Genomic DNA, 23046 nt, shown 5'->3' with positions numbered 1-23046 from the left:
GGATCAGCGCTCATGAATATTAAACATAAAGGATAAAAATCTTACAAGTAATCGCTGCCCTGTAAGTGCTTCACTTGGTTAAGCAATTTTTTTGAATTTATCAGCTAATTCTCAACTGGATCTTAACTCTTTTCAAATGAACTAGCTCCCTACTTGGCTCTCATGCAGATCACAGCTTGTTTGGGAACCTACGCAGCAAAATTAAGCTTTACAAATATCATTCCACAATATGGTGCTATCAGAAAGACCTTAACTTATACTGCAGTGTGGAGTGGGGCCTAGGGGGCTTTGGTGGAACCACACTGGTAAATTATCCTTCAAATTTGGGCTGGTCTAAAAAAAAGGAAACAAACTATTAGAGCAATTTTGATTCAAAGTCTAGAGACCTGTTACAGAGGAAAACTCTACATCAGAAGCCTAACTCAAACATTTAACATTTAAGACTCTAAACACAAATGAAAATTATAAAGAACATCTTGTTAATTTTCAAATAATTTTAACAATTCTACGATGAAGAATCTATTGTATAAATAATGGATAAAAAATAAGTCAGCATACAGTACAATTTTATCTTACTAGGATTCATGTCAGCTCTCTTTTTTTTGGTTTTGTACTTCAATCTACCCAAGAGCCACACTAAGTATTAACCTTCAGTCATTGAGTAACTGATTTTTGTTACTAGTCTTGAAAGCAAGATCTGTATATTATTTCTTTTTTTTATTGTTGGTATCTATCAAAATGTCTAGCACATAGTAGATTTTTAGAAAACATTTGTTGTAAAGAACTTAACTTCAGCAAATGGGTATAGATGGCACTATATGATCTACAGAGAATTAGCTGAGGTTTATAAGCAATATTCCCAATGCCATGACCTCTAAGTTGGCTTGTGGGCCTTCAATGCTTGCATAAGCTATTTGGGCAGGAGCTAAATCTAAGTATGAAAAAAAAACCTCAAGCTGGGCCTGTCTGCTGACTATTAAGAAATAATAAGTTATTCAGAGAACTGAGGAAACAAAAAGCAAGCTGTGTGCAATATATTAGTTAGAACTACTAAACAATTTTATGTAAACTTCTAATAGATTTTGACCATCCAAGCATTACCAAATGGCCTAAAATGTAAACCTCTGCCTTACAGTCTTCTTTTTGCATCTGCGCCCTTAGAAACTCACTGGTATTATTTATTTAAATTGACACTGAGGAGTTTTTTAAGTTTAAAATATAATAAATAGTCAATGTAAAAAATTTAGAAAATATAGGAATCTGTGAAAAAATTCTAAATCATTTTCATTCTTCTAGTCAAGGAAAATATTAACATTTTAGTTATCATCTTACAATATGTTTTAATACATAGAAACCACAACCCTCACAGATAAAATCAGAACTCCTCCGTGGAAGCCTTCTCACACAGATCTCACTAAGGGCTCAACATTATATATGAATGAACAGACAAAAACATATAGAGAAAAGAATGCAAAGACACATATATGTCAAAAGTACTTGCTTATGAGAGGGAGAGTAGACTCTTAATTTTATTGTGTATGTGTGTGTGTATATATATTTACACACAATACAACATTGCGTATATATATACATACACATACACAATAACATAAAGAGTCTACTCTCCCTCTCAGAAGCAAGTACACATATATATATATGGAAGTACATATACATATATATATATATATATATATATATATATATATATATATAGTATTGCCGGAAATATTTAAATAAGATGCATTTGTATATTGCTTATGAAGGAAAATATTTTTAAAAGGTCATAATAAAAAATGGGTGTAATATTACCTAAAAACATAAAAGTATTGTACATCCTATCATATTTTTTCTCTTTGTTTTGACTACTGGAATATCCAAAACTTATTACATCTAACTGTATTAGTTAACATAAACCCAAAACTCATAGTTAAAAAAAAATTAAATATAACTTCTCTTTTCATTTCCTACTCAGCTGTCACCTTTAAATTAATTTTTGACTCTTCTTACATTTATTATTTTATTATAATTTTTTCAGATTTTTGTTGGTTTTGAAAAATAGATAAAATAGAAAATAATTAAAATTAAAACATAAAACCAGAAAAAAAAAAAGCGCAAACTTACCATAGCTATCAAAAATGAATCCAACCAACCCGTATAATATTTGGGGCTTTTATTAAGAAAGTTGCTCAAAGTTCTGTGGTCTGTTTCCCCTGAGGATTTCAACCCAAAACTTAAAATTGTATTTCACCAGTATCAATAACTCACATTTACAATCACTAGTCTCACCTCCTCTTTCAGAATTTCTCCTGCGAAATCCTCCCTCCATACCCCACCATGCCACCATGTCTCAGTGTGATTTTGCTCTCCTCAGTACTTACAGCTGAGCTCTGTTCCTCCAGGAACTGCTTTGTTAGATGAGCCCTTTACATTGCTGCTTCCATTTCCACCAGTGATTTTTCTGTTATTGTATTTCTCTTGAACTCTACCATCCTCATAGGCACTACAGCTTCCTTTAGTGGGTATACCACTTCCTCTAAGAAAGTCCCCCCTGCCCCTCTGCTCCACCAGGCACAGCTGCCACCTCCATTGTGTTAGCAGCTACTTTCTTGTGACCATTGGTTCAAGTCTTGCTTGCCCTCTGAGCCTTCCGTGTACAGTGCTGCCTTGCGTTCTGTGGAGAAGACTAGAGAGGACCCCTCTGTCATTTTGGATTATATTCTGTATGAAGAATACCAAAGAAATACCTTTGTGACCTGATATCTTAAGCAGTTTATAGGAACATGGTATTTTATCTTTTTTAATTACAAAATTTCTCCTCTAGGAAATTTAGATATAAATAAAGAATAGAGCAAGGGGAATGTGGCTGCAATAGGAGATAAATACTGTGCTCTCTTCAGGCCTCTCAGTCCTATTTATTCCCTACCTATGACCACAGATTTGTTAAGATTTGACTTGTTGCCTAACATCTTCTTCCCTGAGAATCAAATTCTCTTCCAGTAGATGCCTCATTCTCTCATGCAATTAAGCCTCAGGGGACCACCCTGTCAATTTCCCAGACACTATCATACCTGTCAGTATTCCAAGGCTGTACTTGGCTGGGGCTTAACCTGAAAACTCCACTAGAGATATAAAAGAATGACTGGAATAAATAAAGAACAATACCGTATTCCTGAGTGAGAAACTACATGTAATTACAAGATCAATTTTTTTCTAAATTAAATAATAGCCTTAGCCAATCTGTCAAGCTTCACCAACTTGGGAGGCACAAAATAAAGTCACAGAACTTTTAATATTTAGATTAATATGACTTTGATCTCTATTCTGTTCATCATGAAAATTCATGGTTGAGATGAAACATTTATTACTACATGTGCTTTGTTTATCTTCCCAAGAAAGATATGGCCTATCGTTATAATTAAGCCACAATAATGGAGGGGAAATGTTCTCTTTATTTATAAATTTCTTATAAGCTTTGGTTCTTAAGCTTGTTTATGATTACATAGAGAAAAATCATATCATACTATTATAATTATCCACTGTGACATTACCAGCCACTATAGAGCTCTGTCATTATCAATAAAGCTAAAGTATTTAATTGAATTATTTCATTAAGCTGCTGCATTTAGTTTACATACATGGTTATTGAACAAACACACTTAATATTTTTTAAATAGATGACCTTTCTTGGAAGAGTTCCCTGAAGTTTATTTAACTTCTTTCCTTCTTGTTTGATGTGATACTTTCTAGTTGTTCAGGCCAAAGATAGCCATCAACAAATGAAGATTAAAAAGCCAGCTTTCTTAGTAAGAAAGTGAGTGGATGATGTTCTGTTCCTGGAAAGGACCTTCAACAATCATCCTATTCAAAAGTCAAAGAAGAAACAACATTTCAATGAAATGAAACTTGTTTTAGTTTTATTAGGAAGCCTCAGGGTAAACCTCTATTTATGTATTTTTGGAAATACTCTGAGTAGAATTCAAATATATTACCACATTAGCTAAAATGTCTTAAAATGTCAAAGAGGGGATATAGTGGTTTTAGAAGATTTTATGGATGGGTGGTTGATCTTTTCCAATAATTCATTGAAAAAATATGCTCAATTTTTTATGCATAAAAAATACCATTGAAAAGAAAAAAAAATCAGCTGCTCAGTTTTATGTTTAAAAGTGAAGGCATTTAATTGACTGCTGAATAAAAGGTAGCATGCATAACCTTTTTAAAAAATTATCAAAAGCATGTCCTTGATGTTAGCCTGACATTTTTCCCTTTGATTAGTCAAAAATAACATCATGGACTTATACAGCACTTTCATTCAAAGGGACCAAAGAACGTGCCTTAAAAAAATTGTGCATCTCCCATTATCTCTACAGAGATAAAGGTGAAAGGGACTTGCATTCTTTCTAATGAATAGTGGCTGTCTAAAATAAAAGAAGTTCACCTGGGCCCCACCCCATGAGCTACCTGCGCACTCCCTTCTTCCCACACCCATGTCCTGGTAAGTGATGGCCTTCCCCACCCAGTTCAGTATCTCCTAACAAACCACAGTGAAATACTAAATCCAGCTACAAATGTCCACTATCAGGAAGTCATTCTGGCCTATAGCTTTACAGACCATGGAATCCAGAGAAACTCTTCCTAGTCAGGGATTAGGAATCTTGAGTCATATTAGTTCTTTCACCATTTCTTCATTTATTCAATTGATATCCCTACTGAACTTTTATACTATGTGTAAGGCTTTGTGGTAGGTGCCAGAAAATCAATTCTGAGCAAGATCCACTAGGGCCATGCCCTCATGAGGCTTAGATTCTAGCTGGAGACATAGGTATTAAACAATTAATTGCACAAGTAATTATTTAAGTAAACTTGGGGAAAAGTATTCTGAGGTGGGAATAGTGGGTGCTATGAAAGCATAAAATGGGTAGATCTATCTGGAGGGTCAGAGATAGCTTCTGTGAGGCAAAGACATTGATCTAGGCTCCAAAATAGCAGCAAAAATTAGGCTAAAACAAGAGGAACAGCATTCCGGGAAGAGCTACAGTTTGCTCCAAGGTTCTGAAGTGGAAAGAAAAACCATACTGATTATTGTATTAAGGAGGACCAACTATATAGATAATTATAAGTTAGACTCTGTGGGAGTGCTTCATAAATAGTAAAACTCTGACTGAAAGTTAGTGATTACTTTTACTGGTTGTCACTATTACTGTTATTCTCTGAGTTTAGTGGTTTTCATGGCTTTGTTTTTCTCTTACTACTGCCCTTAAGAAGGATGTTGGATCACCCTTCTCTACTTCCTGGCAACGTCATGGGCAAATATTATGGATGTTTAAAAAGTTACAGTTTTTAAGACTAGCCACACCTCTAAAACTCCAGTCTAAATCAAAACGTTAATATCCCATCTAATTCCGTATCTGCCCCGCACCACCACCACCGCCCACTTATGCCCCACTCCCATCTGCTCAGGCCAGATCTGTGGCCTGTGAGGGGGTTTGCTGATCTTTTCTCCTTGTTCCCCTATTTGACCTGGTACTCACACGTCCAGGGTCATGGGGGTGGGAGGTAATTGTCAGAGAAGAAGTTAAAGGAAAACACCATTGTCTTTCTTTTCTGGTGCTGTTATATAATCTATATGCGTCCTCAGTGACGGCAGGTGCAGAATGCAGGTTCTTTCACACTTTCTTAGAGAGTGTTGGAGGGTTTTCTGGAGACTCCCTCTATGACCGCTACATGGCACCATTCTCTGACAAGGTAATGGACCTTTCATGAACCCTCTCATCTCTGCATCCTCCACTCTCATTCCAGTGATGATCCCACAGACTCAGCCAAGGTCATCACACTCCATAAACAATCTTCTTTGACAGGGTCCTGTCAAGATGGCACAAGTGGCTATTTTTCACGAGATTCACTTGGCCTGGAGAAATTTGTATCCGTGCTGTTGATATCAAAACTAGCTTCTTTGCTCTTCCTGCTGTCATAGACAACTCTACCTTGCCTTGAATTTCAGATCCCCCAGATACAGGCATCGGTGTCTGTGTTATAGACATTCCCAAATGCCCTCAAGATCAGTAAGGGAAGTATAAGGCAAGACTATGCATTTCTGCAGTTCAATAAATATCCAGCTGAGGAATAAAATTCCAGTCTCTTGCAAAAAAATTAAAAAAAAAAACGACATTATCAACCACAAAAATCTCTAGAAAACAACTCATTTTGCCTTAAGGGAGGGAAGACTGTGATATAGACAACTTTTTCTTTTCAAATTTTTCTTTTATCTAAGCTATTTGAAGTAATGTACACAAAGCCACATATCTTTTAGTATGTCCTGCTTAGAAATGTCTCTCTGCAAAATGTGACAGGGTTCTATCATCCACCAGGCTCAACTGGGGACTTCAGCTGAAATCCTGAGATAAGAAAAGTACCATTTAATATCCCATTACAGGAATGTTAGTTACTGTATTTTTGTTTGTTGTCTTATTATCATTCATTGTTTTTATTAAAACTATTGTTATATTTGTTGTTTAGAGAACACTGAGACACAAATAACATTGTGAAATTTAACATCTTTCCCCATGAAAACTTGTGTAGAAGATGCTGACTCTTCAGAACTGAAGAACTATTTACCAGCCTCTAGGGGTACTTTTGGCAGAGCCCTTTAGTTGTCTATCCCTTTTAGGAATTGGGTTGACTGAAGACAGTCACCTCATCCTGAGCCACCCTCATCCCCAGGTCACACTACCACTTACTGATAGATACAGAGGCATAAAGACTGCTCCCCTTCCATTCAATCCACATGGGTGGATCCCAAAAGCATTGCTAGCAAACTTCTTGCATGCTAATTGCAGTCTCACAATCTGCTTCCCAGGGTATCCAACCCATGACAGATTATGAATAAATAAAGAATACCCACTGTCTTTGCTGCTACTAAACATTCTGCTGAGGTCTTAGTCAAATGCAAAGTGACAAGAAAAAGAAAACATGCTTGCAAGCTTGCAGGTTGGGCAAGGCGGAGGTTGCAGTGAGCCAAGATCGTGCCACTGCACTCCAGCACTCCAGCCTGGGTGACAGGGCGAGACTCTGTCTCAAAAAAAAAAAAAAAAAAAAAAGGAGGAAATAAAGAAGTCATTATTTACAGATAACATAATCATACATAGACAATTCTAAATAATCTATAAAGTATAAGAATCAATAGAAATCCCAAGGGAATCACTTGAACCCTGGTGGCGGAGGTTGTGGTGAGCTGAAATCATGCCACTGCACTCCAGCCTAGGTGACAGAGTGCAACTGTGTCTCCAAAATATATATATATTACAAAAATGTTTAAATTTTTATAGTATTGAACATAAAGCTTTAAAAAGTTTTAAGGTTAGCAAGTAGATTATATTAAATTTTCATTTAATAAACTTTTCTTGAGTTCTTTACACCAGGCATCAAGCTAGTAAGCACTATTTGTATCACTAAATTATGGAATAGAAAGGGTACTATCTCTCGAGTCCAACAATTAGCTTGAGAAAAACAAAACATGTTCAGAATAACTAGTCTGAGTGAGGAGAGCATTTTTTGTATCTGAATAAAGGAATATCTCTTATGAATATTTTATCTAAAATATCCACAGAAAACATAGACAAACTTGAAATGCCAACTACCTCATTGTAACATATCCTTTTCAAAGTATTTTTAATGTGAATATTCCTAGCTTTTGAAATTTTTATAACCAGAGTAAACATGCTATGTGTTTTGCTTTTTCATATCCCACGTATGATTTCCCACATATTAACATATTCTAAATTTTGTGACTCTTTAATAACAATATAGTATCTACTATTATTTGTGGACCACGCAGTTTATATAACCAGTTTTTTAGATGTTATTTATTTCAATTTTTGTTTTTTTATTTTATTTTTTTTTGAGACAGAATCTTGCTCTATCCCCCAGGCTGGAGTGCAGTGGTGTGATCTTGACTCACTGCAACCTCTGCCTTCCAGGTTTGAGGGATTCTCATCCCTCAGCCTCCCGAGTAGCTGGGATTACAGGTGCCTACCACCACGCCCAGCTAATTTTTGTATTTTTAGTAGAGATGGGGTTTCGCCATGGTGGCCAGGCTCGTCTCAAACTCCTGACCTCAGGTGATCTGCCCTCCTTGGCCTCCTAAAATGCTAGGATTACAGGTGTGAGCCACTGCGACCAACCCAAAATTTTTACTATGAAGGTTTTCCACTTTCAAAAGTATATATATGCAAGAAAACACAAAAAGAATAAAAAGAAAAACAGTATATGTATTTGTATGTATGTGTATTTTCATTTTGGGTTGTTTTCTTAGAGTGTATTTTTTAAATAAACATTTTATTTAGAATAGGTTTAGGTATATAGAAAAATTGTGAGGGGCCAGGCGTGGTGGCTCACAACTGTAATCCTAGCATTTTGGGAGGCCAAGGAGGGCAGATCATGAGGTCAGGAGATTGAGACCATCCTGGCCAACATGGTGAAACCCGTCTCTACTAAAAATACAAAAGTTAGCTGGATGTGGTGGTGGGTGCCTGTAATCCCAGCTACTCGGGAGGCTGAGGCAGGAGAATCGCTTGAACCAGGGAGTTGGAGGTTGCAGTGAGCTGAGATTGCGTCACTGCGCTCCAGCCTCGCACAGAGCAAGACTCCATCTCAAAAAAAAAAAAAATTTGTGAGGATAGCACCAAAAAAGTGCTTTACCTCGTATATATACATATCTGTCCTCACAGTGCATGGGGCCCTGGAGGGAGAGTACACACTTCATATGGACTCTCTCTTCTAGAATCTGTCGTATCCAGAGATCCATGAAATTGCTACTTTCCTGAATAACAATCTCAAGCTTCGATTTATTGTTATACTTGAGGCTTTAACTTTCAAGTGCCATCCAGATGAGTTTTTTCCCTTGCATATATTTTAGGTGATCATATTTTTATTGCAATAATTAAACTTGACAGTAAAAATAAGGCAAAATATAAAATGGTACTAGCATTAACTCAGTATCTGTGTCATACACCGTAGTAGACACACTGCCTTTGTTAAATCATTTAATCCCAACAGTAACCCTAAAATGGAGGTATTATAACACCATTGTATTTGTAAGAGAGCACAAAGTACCTGGTTTGTAATTAGTCAGGAATTTGAGTTTGTTTAGCTGTAAAATACACTGCAGTTCTACGTCAAACTAAATACAGTTTGAATGTGTTCATCACCACAATGGCAAAGACATGAAATCAACCTAGCCACCCATCAATGGTGGACTGGATAACGAAAATGGGGTATACATACATCATGGAGCACTATACAGCCGTTAAAAAAATCATGTCCTTTGCAGCAAATGCAGCTGGAGGTCATTATCCTAAGGGAATTAACACAGGAACAAAAAAACAGATACCAAGAGAGGAAGTCAAACTATCCCTGTTTGCAGACAATATGATTTTACTCCTAGAAAAATCCCATACATAGTGTCTGGCAAAAAGTTTCTTGATCTGATAAACAACTTCAGCAAAGTTTCAAGATACAAAATCAATGTACAAAAATCAAAAGTTGGCCGGGCGTGGTGGCTTACGCCTGTAATCCCAGCACTTTGGGAAGCCGAGGCGGGTGGATCACCTGAAGTAAGGAGTTCAAACCAGCCTGGCCAACACGGCGAAACCCCTTCTCTACTAAAAATACAAAAATTAGCCAGGTGTGATGGCAATTGCCTGTAATCCAAGCTACTCGGGAGGCTGAGGCAGGAGAATTGCTTGAACCTGGGACGCGGAGGTTGCAGTGAGCAAGATCGCGCCATTGCACTCCAGCCTGGGCGACAAGAGTGATACCCTATCTCAAAAAAAAAAAAATCAGAAGTATTGTCAGACACCAACAACATCCAGGCTGAGAGCCAAATCAATAACGCAATCCCATTCACAATAGCCACAAAAAGAATAAAATACCTAGAAATAAAGCTAACCAGGGAGGTGAAAGATCCCTGAAATGAGAATTATAAAACACTGCTCAAAGAAATCAGAGATGACACAAACAAATGGAAAAACATTCCATACTCATGGGCAGGAATAATCAATATTGTTAAAATGGCCATACTGCCCAAAGCAACTTGCAGGTTCAATGCTATTTCTATCAAACTATGAATGGCATTCATCATAGAATTAGAAAAATATATTTCAAATTTCATAAGGAACCAAAAAAGAGCCTAAATAGCCAAGGCAATCCTAAGCAAAAAGAACAAAGAAGGAATCATCATGTTACCTGACTTCAAACTATCCTACAGGGCTACAGTAACCAAAACAGCATGGTACTGGTACAGAAACAGACACATAAACCAGTGGAACAGAAGAGAGAGCCCAGAAATAATGCCATACACCTGCAACTATCTAATATTCAACAAAGTTAACAAGAACAAGCAATGAGGACAGGACTCCCTATTCAATAAATGGTGTTGGGATAACTGGCTAGCTATATGCAGAAGAGTGAAACTGGACCCCTTCCTTACACCATACACAAAAATCAACTCAAGATGAATTAAACACTTAAATGTAAAACCTAAAACCATAAAAATCCTGGAAGATAACCTTGGAAATACCATTCTGGACATAGGCCCTGACAAAGATTTCATAGCAAAGATGCCAAAAGCAATTGCAACAAAAACAAAAATGGACGAATGGGAACTAATTAAACTGAAGAGCTTCTGCACAGCAAAAGAAACTATCAACAGAGCAAACAGACAAACTACAGAATGAGAGAAAATATTTGCAAATTATGCATCCAACAAAGGTCTAATACCCACAAAAGTGTGCAAAGCACATGAACACACGTTTCAAAAGAAGACATACACATGACCCATGAGCCTATGAAAAGATGCTCCACATCACTAATCATTAGAGAAATGCACATTAAAACCAGAATGAGATACCATCTCACACCAGTCAGAATGGCTATTTAAAAAGTCAAAAAATAACAGATTCTGGCAAGGTTGCAGAGAAAAGGGAACACGTATACGCTGCTGATAGGAATGTAAACTAGTTCAGCCTTTGTGGAAAACAGTGTAGTGATTCCTCAAAGGACTTAAAACAGAATTAGCATTCAACCCAGCAAGTCCATTATTGGGTATATACTTGAAGGAATATAAATCATTCTACCACAAAGACACATGTACATGTATTTTCATCCCAGCACTATTCACAATAGCAAAGACATGGAATCAACATAACTTCCCATCAATAGTAGACTGGATAAAGAAAATGTGGTACATATATACCATGGAATACTACACATTCATAAAAAAGAACAAGATCATGTCCTTTGCAGCAACATAGATGGAACTAGAGGCTATTAACCTAAGCAAACTAAGAAGGAACAAAACAAACAAACAAACAAATACCATATGTTCTTGCTTATAAATGCACCTAAACAATGCAACACATGGACACAAAGAGGGGAACAACTGGGGGCCTACTTGAGGGTGGTGGGTGGGAGGAGGGAGAAGATCAAAAAAACTACCTATTGTATACCATGTTTATTACCTGGGAGATGAAACAATCTGCACACCAAATCCCCATGACATGTAGTTTACCTATATAATAAACCTGCTCATGTACCCCTAAACCTAAAATAAAAATTAAAAAAAGAGAAGAAAACCAAATACTGCATATTTTCACTTATAAGCAGGGGCTAAACCTCAGGTACTCATTGACATAAAGATGACAACAGTAGACACTGGGGACTACTGGACGGGAGAGTGGGGAAGGGCAGTAAGCACTGAACAATTAGCTATTGGGTACTATGCCCACTACCAGGGAGATGGGATCATTTGTACCCAAACCTTAGAATCATGTGATATACCTGTGTAACAAAAATGCACATGTGCCATCGAATCTAAAATAAAAGTTGAAATTATAAAAAATAAAATAGTTTTTTAAATTATCATAGTAAGAGATTTAATTCAGAAAAACTCAAGAGAATAAATATTTATAAAGGGTCATACTGTGGAGAAGTCCAGTACCTTAAAAATGAAATTTTTATATTCAACATTACTGCAAATCATTCTAGAAAATGTACTGTAACAGCCTCAGGACCTTGTGCATATTAAAAGTGAAAGCAATTTATCTGTCATCCATACAAACCATTCTAATCCAGTTGTTTCCCCAAGTGATTTCCTGGAAACATTAATTCCACAGAATTTCTACAGATGTAGGCATTAAATGTGGGAGACTTTAAAATAGCAGTTCAGAGTGAGGAATCTAGGTTCAGAGAAGTTGAGTTCAAATCATACCCCCACCACTTATGTGATCTTGAGTAAATTTCTTAATTGCCTTATGCTTCAGTTTTCTAATCCGTGAAATAGGAATAAAAATGGTATTTACATCACAGGATTAATATATGAATACATTGATACATAGTAGTATTCAATAATGAATAGTAAGCACATAGTAAGCATTCAATAATGGTATTGAATTACTAGTATTGTTATTGTTATTAGTATGAGTATTACCTTCATGTTAAAAAAATACAATGGTCAAATATGTTTGGGATATGTTGGGTTAATAAAATGAAACATGTCTCTTCTGAAAAAATAAATAAATATAGTTTGAAACCATGTCACAGTCAATAATTATATTTCATAATTTGTTAAATATTTGCATCATACCTTAAACACAGTGACCTATTGGACAGACTAAAAGTATTGAACCCTATCCAATTTGTTGAAAACCTACAGTTCTTCATAGTCTAAATACGCCAATAAATTTAAAGGCATACACATATTTTTTAAACATATGATAGCTAATTTGCACACTTCACATGTTTTGTTATTCTCAGTGAAGGCTGATCTGGTCATAAATATTTTATGAAATCTTCATGTGCTGTAAGCAGAGTTTAATTTTCATACATATTAGGATTCAGCTGGAACAAAGCATTGTGATATTTGGGCTTCATATTTACAAAGGCTATATGATGACTTACCTACATTAAAATAGGTTTTAATATTTCTTGAGACTGCAGATGCAACCTATAGGGTAATGAAGAATCTGCGTTAGCAAGAAAGACAATAGGTCATTCCTTTCATCTCTTTGAAGCCATCCTGTTTTCCTAAATTTCATGTGTGGAGAACACCCACATATTCTTCCAGAGAGTTCCTTTGTAAACTCCACTATTTTACTTCTTAATGTGTATTTTAGTGAAGCATTTCATGGTCACTAAAAACTGCAATTAAAGAACCACAAACAAATCTTTGGTATGACCTTGGGAAGAAAAAACATATTTCACATTTGATTATAAAGCCCTACGTCTGTTTTTTGGGAGGGACTGATTTAGAATAGACATACTGTTGTTCCTCTTTTGACACAGAATAGGGTTTCAAGAAGTGATAAAAGGCACAAAAGCAAGAATTGGCCTGATGAGAGCATGTGGACAGAATTCTCTAGATACACAAGTAATGTTTATAAAGCTATCACCCCTAAATCCAATCCAGGAGCAGTGTCTCACATATAGACTCCAGACCCAAAAAGGAATACATATAATCTTCAGTCATGCCCTTTTTTACTTTTAAGGAGCTGCAAATACTTAGACTACAGCAAATGTTCTTAATGTATGGCACCACAAACTCTCAGGTGTCTCCTTCTCATCTAGGAAGAATTTTCTCACTCATCTCACCTGTTCTTATACCTTGGTCCTCCTTATCAACTGCTGCTCCAAAGTGCACAGTTTCTCGTAATACACTCAGGACACTTCCTGACTTCCCAGTGCTTGGAATTAGAGAGAAAAATTATTTGTTCTGAATCCCTCTCTACTTTTTGCATCCATTCATGAAATTTTGTCCTTTTTCTCGGGATGGAAGAGAGAAAAAAAAAACTGATCAGGCAAAAGGGGAAGCAGAAGTCCGTGAACCCCATGGGTTAACCATTTTATCCAATTTAACATGGAAAAAATGTGTTTCCTAAGAGAAATATATAATAGTAAATTATGAACTTTGAATTGTCTCTTTGAGAACTTTGAATTCTCTTGAGAAGGTGGTAGTGAAAATCAAACTCCTAATTGTAAAGTTAGATATGCATAAAAGTCTTTTTTAAATAATAGAGTCTTATATGACATTGTAGTCAAAAATTTTTGTGATGGAAAAAATAGGAAACATAAGTTTAAGTCAATGACAAAGCTTAAGATGTAATTCAATGATTTGAAAGATGTTTTATTCATACATACCAGCAAATGAACAATATCTTGTTACAGAATGAGATCATGCTTTATTTTGTAGTCTTATTTTATAATTAAAAACATATTTCAATGTCAATAATTATAAATTTTTATCATTATAGATGCTGCAAAATATTCTATTGTGTGAATAAACCATATTAAAAATTCCTCTATTTCTGCCTGTATTATAGGCTCTTTCCAGATTTTCACTATTACAAACACAGTGATAACATAATGAATAAGTTACATAATCCTGAACATTTATCTTTTTATTTTATTGAAAAATTGATGATTCAAAGATCATGAGTATTTCTAAGCTTTTGTATATACATCTACAAATTGTCCTTCATGGAAGTTAGTAACAATTTATCCTCTCAACAGTAGTGTATAAAGGTCCTATTTTCATACTTGACATACTTCTGTGACATAAATTAATGTGTAAATACATGATTATCCATTATTTTTATCTAAAATGAGACTGAAGCATCGCCATTCTTCTAACCTCCTATTCAAGCTGACATCCAGGAAATATAAATTGCTTGGGTTTGCTCAAATATGGATGGATTGTCTTAAATATATGCCACTCAAATTACTTCTCAAGATGTACACAATTCACAACGCTCCATTGTTTGCAGCGTCTATTTGAATCTTCTTGTCAATACTCAGACAGTATTCAAAGAATATGCCGTTCTGAACTTACCTTCCCAAGATGCCTTAGAAGCGTCTGCTCTCAGCTGCAGCATACCTTCCTCCTTTAAACTGCAGATTTCCTAAGCTTGTTTTGGCACGAAATGTATCCTCATGTGGCATGGATGCCAGAATATTGTCATGGGAATTTTTGAAAACAAAAATAAAGGAATATAAAGGCCTAGAATAGTTTGCTAATACATATTTCATCTAGAAGCTGAGCATTAAAACATCATTCTTTGGCTCCCATTAGACAAGGGGAAAGTTGACAGTCTGATCATAATTATGCCTGCATTTTCTTACTTTTAACACCTTATCTCAGAATTTTCTACAGATCATTCTACCAGCAAACAAGAGTAGCCCCAAGCATGTTTCTTTTTGTAAGGTTTTCTTAAGTTTCTTGTCTTCAACTCTGGGATTTCCCCAGTTTGGATTTGCTGGTGAATTTCTGCCTTCTCTGTCTTACTTGAGACCTTTCCCCAACACTGGAAAAATAAAATAGAAACTGAAAATGAACTTTGCAAAAACGTCAGTCCACAATGATAAAGAAACTAGGAGAAGAGGGCAAGTTCAACAATTAATAAAGATAAAATTCCCCATAATCTGCTATGCTAATTCTTTGCATTTTTTCCCAATAAAATAAGACAAAATACTAAAATAAGACCACACAGAACCAACACAATATTATGACCTTTTATAAATTGAGAAGTGAAATGTTAACAGCACAGAGTATTCTGGTCACAAGCAGAAAAGATTAAGGAACTAGAGCTGTCCTTTCTGTATTTGTTATTCCTCCTGCCATATGAGGAAACATGGAGGCAAAGCAAGGTGGAAAAAGACAACCCTTAAGCCACAGAGTCTGAAATCTTTCTCTTAAAAGTCAAGATAACTTACAGCTAATTGTAGCTGTCTTAAAACCTTTCCGTGGAGGACCCACCCAGATCTCTAGGCAATTACAGCCTCACAGTGGAGATGGAGAAGCTAAAACACCATTAAAATCACAGTCAGTCAGAGGCAGAATTGGTCACAGAACTCTGCTTTTATTTTCTCCATCCCAGATCTCTGATAATTTTGGAGTCTGGAGTTTCTCTTCCTTGCAGAGAAAAATAAGAAATGAAAGAGGACCTGTAGGAATATTTGCAACCCCACCTAGAGTTTTTAACTTAAATGAAGCCACAATCTCAGAGTGTGTGATTCAATATATTTTCTTAATTGTAAATACCTTTTCTAGTTTTCTCCTTCTGTTGCTTGTGCTAATCCTTATGTTTTTCTCCACTAAAACTTCTTTTTTATTTTTGTTTATTTTTTTTTTTTTAGAGAATTGAAGGATTCACATTAGGTATGGAAACAAACACATATGAGTTGAGATTTCTTAGAAAATATATAATTTAAAAAATGTATTAAAGTCATTATTCATACTCCCCTCTCTCTCCTCTCTCTTTGCTCTCTCTCTCTCCTCTCTCTCTGTGTGTGTCTCTCTCTGCTCTCTCTCTCCTCTCTGTCTCCCTTTCCTTGGTGTGTGTGTGTGTGTGTGTGTGTGTGTGTGTGTGTGTGTGTGTGTCTCCTCTCTCTCCATCTGTCTCTCTCCTCTCTGTCCCTGCCTCTCTCTCTCCTCTCTTTCTCTTTCTCTCTGCTTTCTCTCTCCTCTCTCTCTCTTCTCTCTGTCTCCCTCTCTTTGGGTTCCTCTCTCTCTCTGAGTCTTTCTCTCCTCTCTCTCTCAGTCTGTCTCTCTCCTCTCTCTCCGTCTCTTTCTCCCTGTTTCTCTCCCCCATCTCTCTCTCCTCTCCCTCTTTCTCTCCTCTCTCTCTGTCTCCCTCTCTCTCTCTGTCTCCCTCTCTCTGTCTCCCTCTCTCATCTCTCTCTCCTTGTTTCTCTCTCCTTTCTCTCTCTTCACCTTCCCTTCCCCTCCCTTCCCTCCCCTCTCCTCCCCTTCCTTCCCTTCCCTTCTCTCTCTCCCTCTCTCTCGGTCTCTGTGTATGTGTCTTTCTCTCCTCTTTCCGTCCGTCATCTCTCCCTGTCTCTCATCTCTCTCTCCTCTTTCCTCAGTCTCGCTCCTCTCTCTTTCTAAAAAAAAAAAATAATAAAGCCATTATTCACAGTCGTCAAAGCCCTACAAAAAATCTACCCCCTGCTTATTTCTTCAAACTCACTTCCCTCTAATTTTTTTGTTTTGTTTTGTTTTTTGTTTTTGAGACGGAGTCTCGCTCTGTCGCCCAGGCTGGAGTGCAGTGGCACGATCTCGGCTCACTGCAAGCTCCGCCTCCCGGGTTCACGCCATTCTCCTGCCTCAGCCTCCTGAGTAGCTGGGACTACAGGCGCCTGCCACCACGCCCGGCTAATTTTTTGTATTTTTTTTAGTAGAGACGGGGTTTCACCCTGTTAGTCAGGATAATCTGGATCTCCTGACCTCGTGATCCGCCCGCCTCGGCCTCCCAAAGTGCTGGGATTACAGGCGTGAACCATCGCGCCGGGCCACTTCCCTCTACTCTTATGCTCTATATAGGCCAACACTCCACCCTCACTCCTGGTTTAGGTTTTTAAAGATCCTATTCTGTCTGCCTAGAGCACTCAGTTCCCAGTTGTTCACATGGCTGTCTCCTTCTTGTCATTTATATTTGGGCTTAAATATTCTCTTAGAAAAATTTTATCTTTCCTCCTCTGGTCAAGTTATAATTTTCAAAAAGGTAAAATCATGACTATCATACTAATAGCTGAATGAATATTAGATTTATTTCACTCATCAATAAGGGAACCAGAAAAATAGTTTTCCTTTTTCCAAGGAAAAATTAAGAAACAGATGTTTATGTATCATTCCGGAAAGGTATACAGAAATAAATTCGCTATATTAGGGATAAAACTAGTTATATCCTATAAGACAATAAAGCCATAAAATCGGACACGATTTTTTCTGCCAGATAGAACCCACTGGTATTTCTACTGGACAATAATCCTCATGTTAACATGTAACTTTTCAGAGTTTGGACCCTAATCACTAGTAAATACTAAGACAAGCATCGATACATTGATACACCCATAAAGAATTAAATAACTCTTAGTGGCTGATAGACAGTAGACCAGTATGGTATTAAAGAGACATGCAGTAAAATTTGTATAATTTTTCTTAAGAAAAGGTAAAGAAGGCTCTTGGCCAGGCGCGATGGCTCACGCCTGCAATCCCAGCACTTTGGGAGGCCGAGACGGGTGGATCACGAGGTCAGGAGATCAATACCATCCTAGCTAACACAGTGAAACCCCGTCTGTACTAAAAATACAAAAAGATTAGCCGGGCGTGGTGGTGGGCGCCTGTAGTCCCAGCTACTCGGGAGGCTGGGGCAGGAGAATGGCGTGAACCCGGGAGGCGGAGCTTGCAGTGAGCCGAGATCCCGCCACTGCACTCCAGCCTGGGCGGCAGAGCAAGACTTTGACTCAAAAAATAAAAATAAACATAAATAAATAAAAGGTAAAGAAGGCTCTTACATCCTGGACACTGTGCTTCATATAATCTTCTTTTATTTCTTTGTTATTGCACCAATTACTATAAGAAATCATCTCATTCTTTTTTGTTTAATTTATTCTTCATTGCCTGCCTCTCCACTATGAGTTATCCAAGAGCAGAGTATGTGTCTTTCTTATCCTGTATCCTGAGCCCTCAAAACAATTCCTGGCATACGGTAGATGCTCAAGAAAGGTTTGTTGGATGACAGGGTGCCCAATAATGTTTTAGTGAGAGGGGAGAATGCATAAAAATTAGAAAGCAGTGGAAACTGAGTATTTGGTTGAGAGGAGAAAGCATGTACAAATGAAGAAAACATAGAAAAATAGATGGTAATATATAGTAGTGCTGAATGATAGACACACTAAGTGTTTTAGAAGTAATAATATACATACTGTTTTAGAGAACTGTCAAGATGCTACCTTCCATAGGAAAATACTGTAACTTCTAAATGTTGAAAATATGACTCCACCAGAAATATTTATGGCTAAATTTGATAATAAAAGAAGTTCTACAATGACAGAACCTCTATTAAATGTTAGCAGTATAAGCTATGTTTCAATATATGTGTTACAGAATTTATATTATGGTGTGTAGGTTTAAGAGGCAATTTAAGTGAAAATCTGAAGAGAAACTTGAAATTTACTTAAAGCGAAACATTTGTTGAGTTCACCCATTGTTTAAGGCAGACTGTGTATTATGATAGTTTATGACATCTAGTCTGTTTTTCATAAAACTCCCTTCGCCTAGCCTGATGAGTGGCAGGTAGACATTAGCCTGAAAAAAGCATTTATGCACTTGAAAAAGGCATGGCAGTTTCCCTATGGTGGGGGTGGGGGAAAGGATTTAGCATGCCCTTTTCCTTTCTCTTATTTTTATCTCAGTTGTTATTTTATTCTCTGCTTTTGGCTCTTACCACCCCAGAAATTAACTCGCAGATATCTGAAAACAGACTGAGGAGAAAAGGGGAAACTTGATAGATGTATAATTCTTTAAGAAGTATTTCCAGCCTTCCCTACAAAACAGAAGTAAACAAAAAGGGAGAAAATGTTAGATTGATAAGTCTGTTTGAAGCTGAATGGATCAATAAAAAGTCAACAAATGTCATCCAATTCAAAGTTCTTAACAAGTTAAAATTTTGTGTGTGCATGTGTATAAAAATAAAGGGAAAGCTTAAGTTACTTACATTCCTGCTTAGTTTTATAATCCTTAAAAACTGAGTTAAACATTCTTAACTCATCTGGAATTGTGTGGTTGGCACTGGATTTACAGAGAGAAGAATAACAAATACAATGGAAAACTGCTGCCACAACAGAAGAACATGCATTTCTTTCCATGTAATCATGACTTTTTTTCTAATTTGGAAGATAGTATTCAGCTTTTCTAGTAAATTTTTATTTCCAGTAAAAAGAAGGCATAGAAATTCCCAAGCCCTCTAGTAATTATTTGTTTTATGGTGTTTATTCAGTGACATGACAATTTCATGAATAGTAGGTTTTCTTGAGAAACTAAAAAGCTTTTTATAGGATCTTAACAATCTTCAGCAAATAAAAGAAAGCCAGTTGAAGATAAATTGAAGCAGTATGATTTTTATGTAAAATATGAAGACATGCAAAAGTAAACATTATTTTTAAGGAATACTCACACACTTGGTAAAATTACTAAGAAAAACAAGAAAATGATATCACAAAATTCAGAATAACTGAGATCTGGGTAGAAAGGGCAGCATAATTATGGAAGGCAAATAGGGAGCATCAAACATTGAAAGTGTTCTGTTTCTTAAGCTGATTGGTGGGGGGATGAATTTTATGTATATTATGCTTTACATTATACATACTACATGATAAAATAATTCATAGTTTTTAAAGTGCCTTATATTTCTGCTTCTAGTTTTATCATAACAGATTAAAAATCCTAAAATTTCTCATCTATAAAGTTAGAAATGACACGTAGTATAGATTTAAGTCGTTGAACTGGTAAGAGTGGCAGGAGGCAGCCAAATGCCTAGGCAGATAGGGGTGGGTCCCCAGTGAAACCCTACCTCCAAGCCCAAGGCTGTTTAAAGCCGAAAGACAAGCTGCAAGTTACATCCTTGACTGGATTGAGAACTTCTCTTCCCATTTGGCTTGCTTTCCTCTAACTGATCCCAACCCTTCACCTATTTTACATATACCTACCCCTTCCTAATTGGTTTTCTATACTGTCGTGCCCATCTTTGAGTGGTGTCTTTGCCTTAACCTTTTTTACATATTCCCAAACCAGTCAGCATGTACTCCTCATTTTGAGTCCATAAGAGGCCCAGACTCAGCCACCTGGGAGAAATTTCCCACCTTCAGGTAGGGGAACCACCCTCCGACCCCTACATCCCCTCTTTGCTGAGAGCTTTCCTTTCACTTAATAAATTCTGTTCCACTCACTCTCTGGTGTCTGTGTGCCTAATTCTTCCTGGTTGTGAGACAAGAACTTGGACCTAGCTGAGCTAAGGAGCAGAAAGACCACAACACCAGTAGTTTTTAAACTTCAGGGTATCCCCTATTGTCAAGAGCAAAAAAAAGCAGAAAACCTCAGAAGGTATGAGAATGAGAAAACAGTATGTAGCATAGCATGAGGGCATCTATGAGATTCATGCAGATGGCCTGAAGCCTCAGGCACCTGTGCAGGGCAAGATAAAAGATCTGAACCACCCCAAATAAAGCTAGGACCTTGCTGGCTCTATGCGTATAAAACAGGATGGCCTACAAGAAAACCTTTTTAGCAATGGTAGATTAAAAAGAAAACTGTCTAATCTCTATGTTTTAGCCAGCAGAAAATACCCCTGGAATTTAGCAAGGACAAACTAGCCCATTCAAGCCTGAATTCACACATGTGTTATCCCAAAATTCCCCAAGAAGAAACCTTATTAAGGAGTGGATGATGATGGACTTCACCAGCACCATAGCAGCAGTAAATGTTGATTCCCTCTCAACCCAGGCATCACAAAATTCCTATTTAGAAGCTTAAAAATTAAGATTACATAATTACTAACACACATGCTCACACACACACACACACAGAGAGGAAAGAATGAGAAAGAAATAAGAGTCAGCAATCACAGCAAACAACAAAAACAGACAAAGACCTCGGATCCTGGAGTCATTAGATTCAGACACACCCAAACCAATATACATCATAGTGAAATTACTAAACACTGGGACAAAAAGACAATCACAAAAGCTTCCAGAGAAAGGAAAAAAATAGCCACAAAGTACAAAAAAAAAAATAATAACTTCAGGCTTCTCAGTAGCAGCATGAATGCTAAGAAATTTTAAGGAAGGTTTTCAAAATTCAAAAGGAAAATTCTACAGACTTCTACACAACCAAACCATCCCAGCCAGTAGGAAAACATGCTCAGACATGCACATCTCAAAAAATGTACCTCCTATGCTCACTTTTCTTGACAACTTTTGGAAAATGTACTCCACTGAAAAGAAGAAATAAGCCAAGAAAGAAGAAGTCCTGGTATAAAGTTGAAATGATCCTACAGAGGAGCCTGAGAAGGGGAATCCCAGGGATGGTGCAGAGAAAGATTCCCAGATGGTAACTGTACATCTGATAAAAAGATCACCTGGTGTGGTTTTCAGTGGCTCTGGGAGGGACTTCTGTGAAAGATGAAACCAGAAGAATGCCAGACACATCTGACATCTTAAGAAGAGAGGTAGAAAACTGGCAAAGCATTTGGGACTGTATTAATTATAAGTACATAGAAAACACAGCAAATGAAAAGAAAGAAGGCAAGGAAACAAAAAGTTGTACAGAAAAAGGAATCAATCATGTTTCCCCACTGGCCTCAATTGTGAATGAGGCTCCCTTAAGTCACAATGATGCAACTGCTATGATGGGATAGAAAATAATCCTTGGGGACTGAGAGATGACAGAGGGGTGACTGAATGTGCAGTCAAAAGATAATGCCTGAGGCTGAAAAATCAAAAAGTTATGAAAGAAGTATGTTATTTAGAGAAAACGCTATAATTACCAAATAAATCACTTAAAAGAGGTGAAAATGCATGCAAACACTGAAGATGCAGAGGTGATGGAGAAGAGATGTACTGCTGTTTTTCTTAACAAACTTCAAAGAGTTATAAGAATGCTTTCCAAAGAAATAAAATGAGTACCACATTTGTAAGTGTAAATTTTATAGTACCCACATTTAAGTTAAAAAAAAAAAAGCTAGTGAAATTCATTTTTTATTTTTAGTTTCACTCTTGTCGCCCAGGCTGGAGTGCAATGGCAACATCTTGGCTCACCACAACCTCCACTTCCCGTGTTCAAGTGATTCTCCTGCCTCAGCCTCCTGAGTAGCTGGGATTACAGGTGCCTGCAACCATGCCCGGCTAATTTTTGTATTTTTAGTGGAGACCCCTGTCTCACCATGTTGGCCAGGCTAGTCTCAAACTCCTGCCCTCAGGTGATCCACCCACCTCAGCCCCGCAAAGTGCTGGGATTACAGGCATGAGCCACTGTGCCCAGCTGTGAAATTAACTTTAATGCATCTCATTTAACCAAATATGTCTTTTTTTTTTTTTTTTGGAGACGGAGTCTTGCACTGTTGCCCAGGCTGGAGTGCAATGGCACAATCTCGGCTCACTGCAACCTCCGCCTCCCAGGTTCAAATGATTCTCCTGCCTCAGCCTCCCGAGTAGCTGGGA

General features: G+C 37.1%; 1 long non-coding RNA gene across 2 annotated transcripts in view; it reads right to left on the bottom strand.

Annotated features, from left to right (window-relative positions):
* LINC03109 (long intergenic non-protein coding RNA 3109) overlaps positions 1-15238 on the bottom strand; it is a 66028-nt gene extending 50790 nt beyond the window's left edge. For both annotated transcript variants that reach the window (XR_002959654.2, XR_001740975.2), the window contains exons 1-2: positions 14882-15238; positions 12955-13000 (exon numbers count right to left, since the gene is read on the bottom strand). This is a non-coding gene — a long non-coding RNA (long intergenic non-protein coding RNA 3109). The remainder of the gene's footprint in view (positions 1-12954; positions 13001-14881) is intronic.
* Between the last annotated feature and the right edge of the window lie 7808 nt (positions 15239-23046).

This window comes from Homo sapiens, chromosome 3 (assembly GCF_000001405.40).
Source record: "Homo sapiens chromosome 3, GRCh38.p14 Primary Assembly".
Taxonomy (NCBI): Eukaryota; Metazoa; Chordata; class Mammalia; order Primates; family Hominidae; genus Homo; species Homo sapiens.
This window is presented reverse-complemented; position numbering and strand designations above follow the sequence as displayed.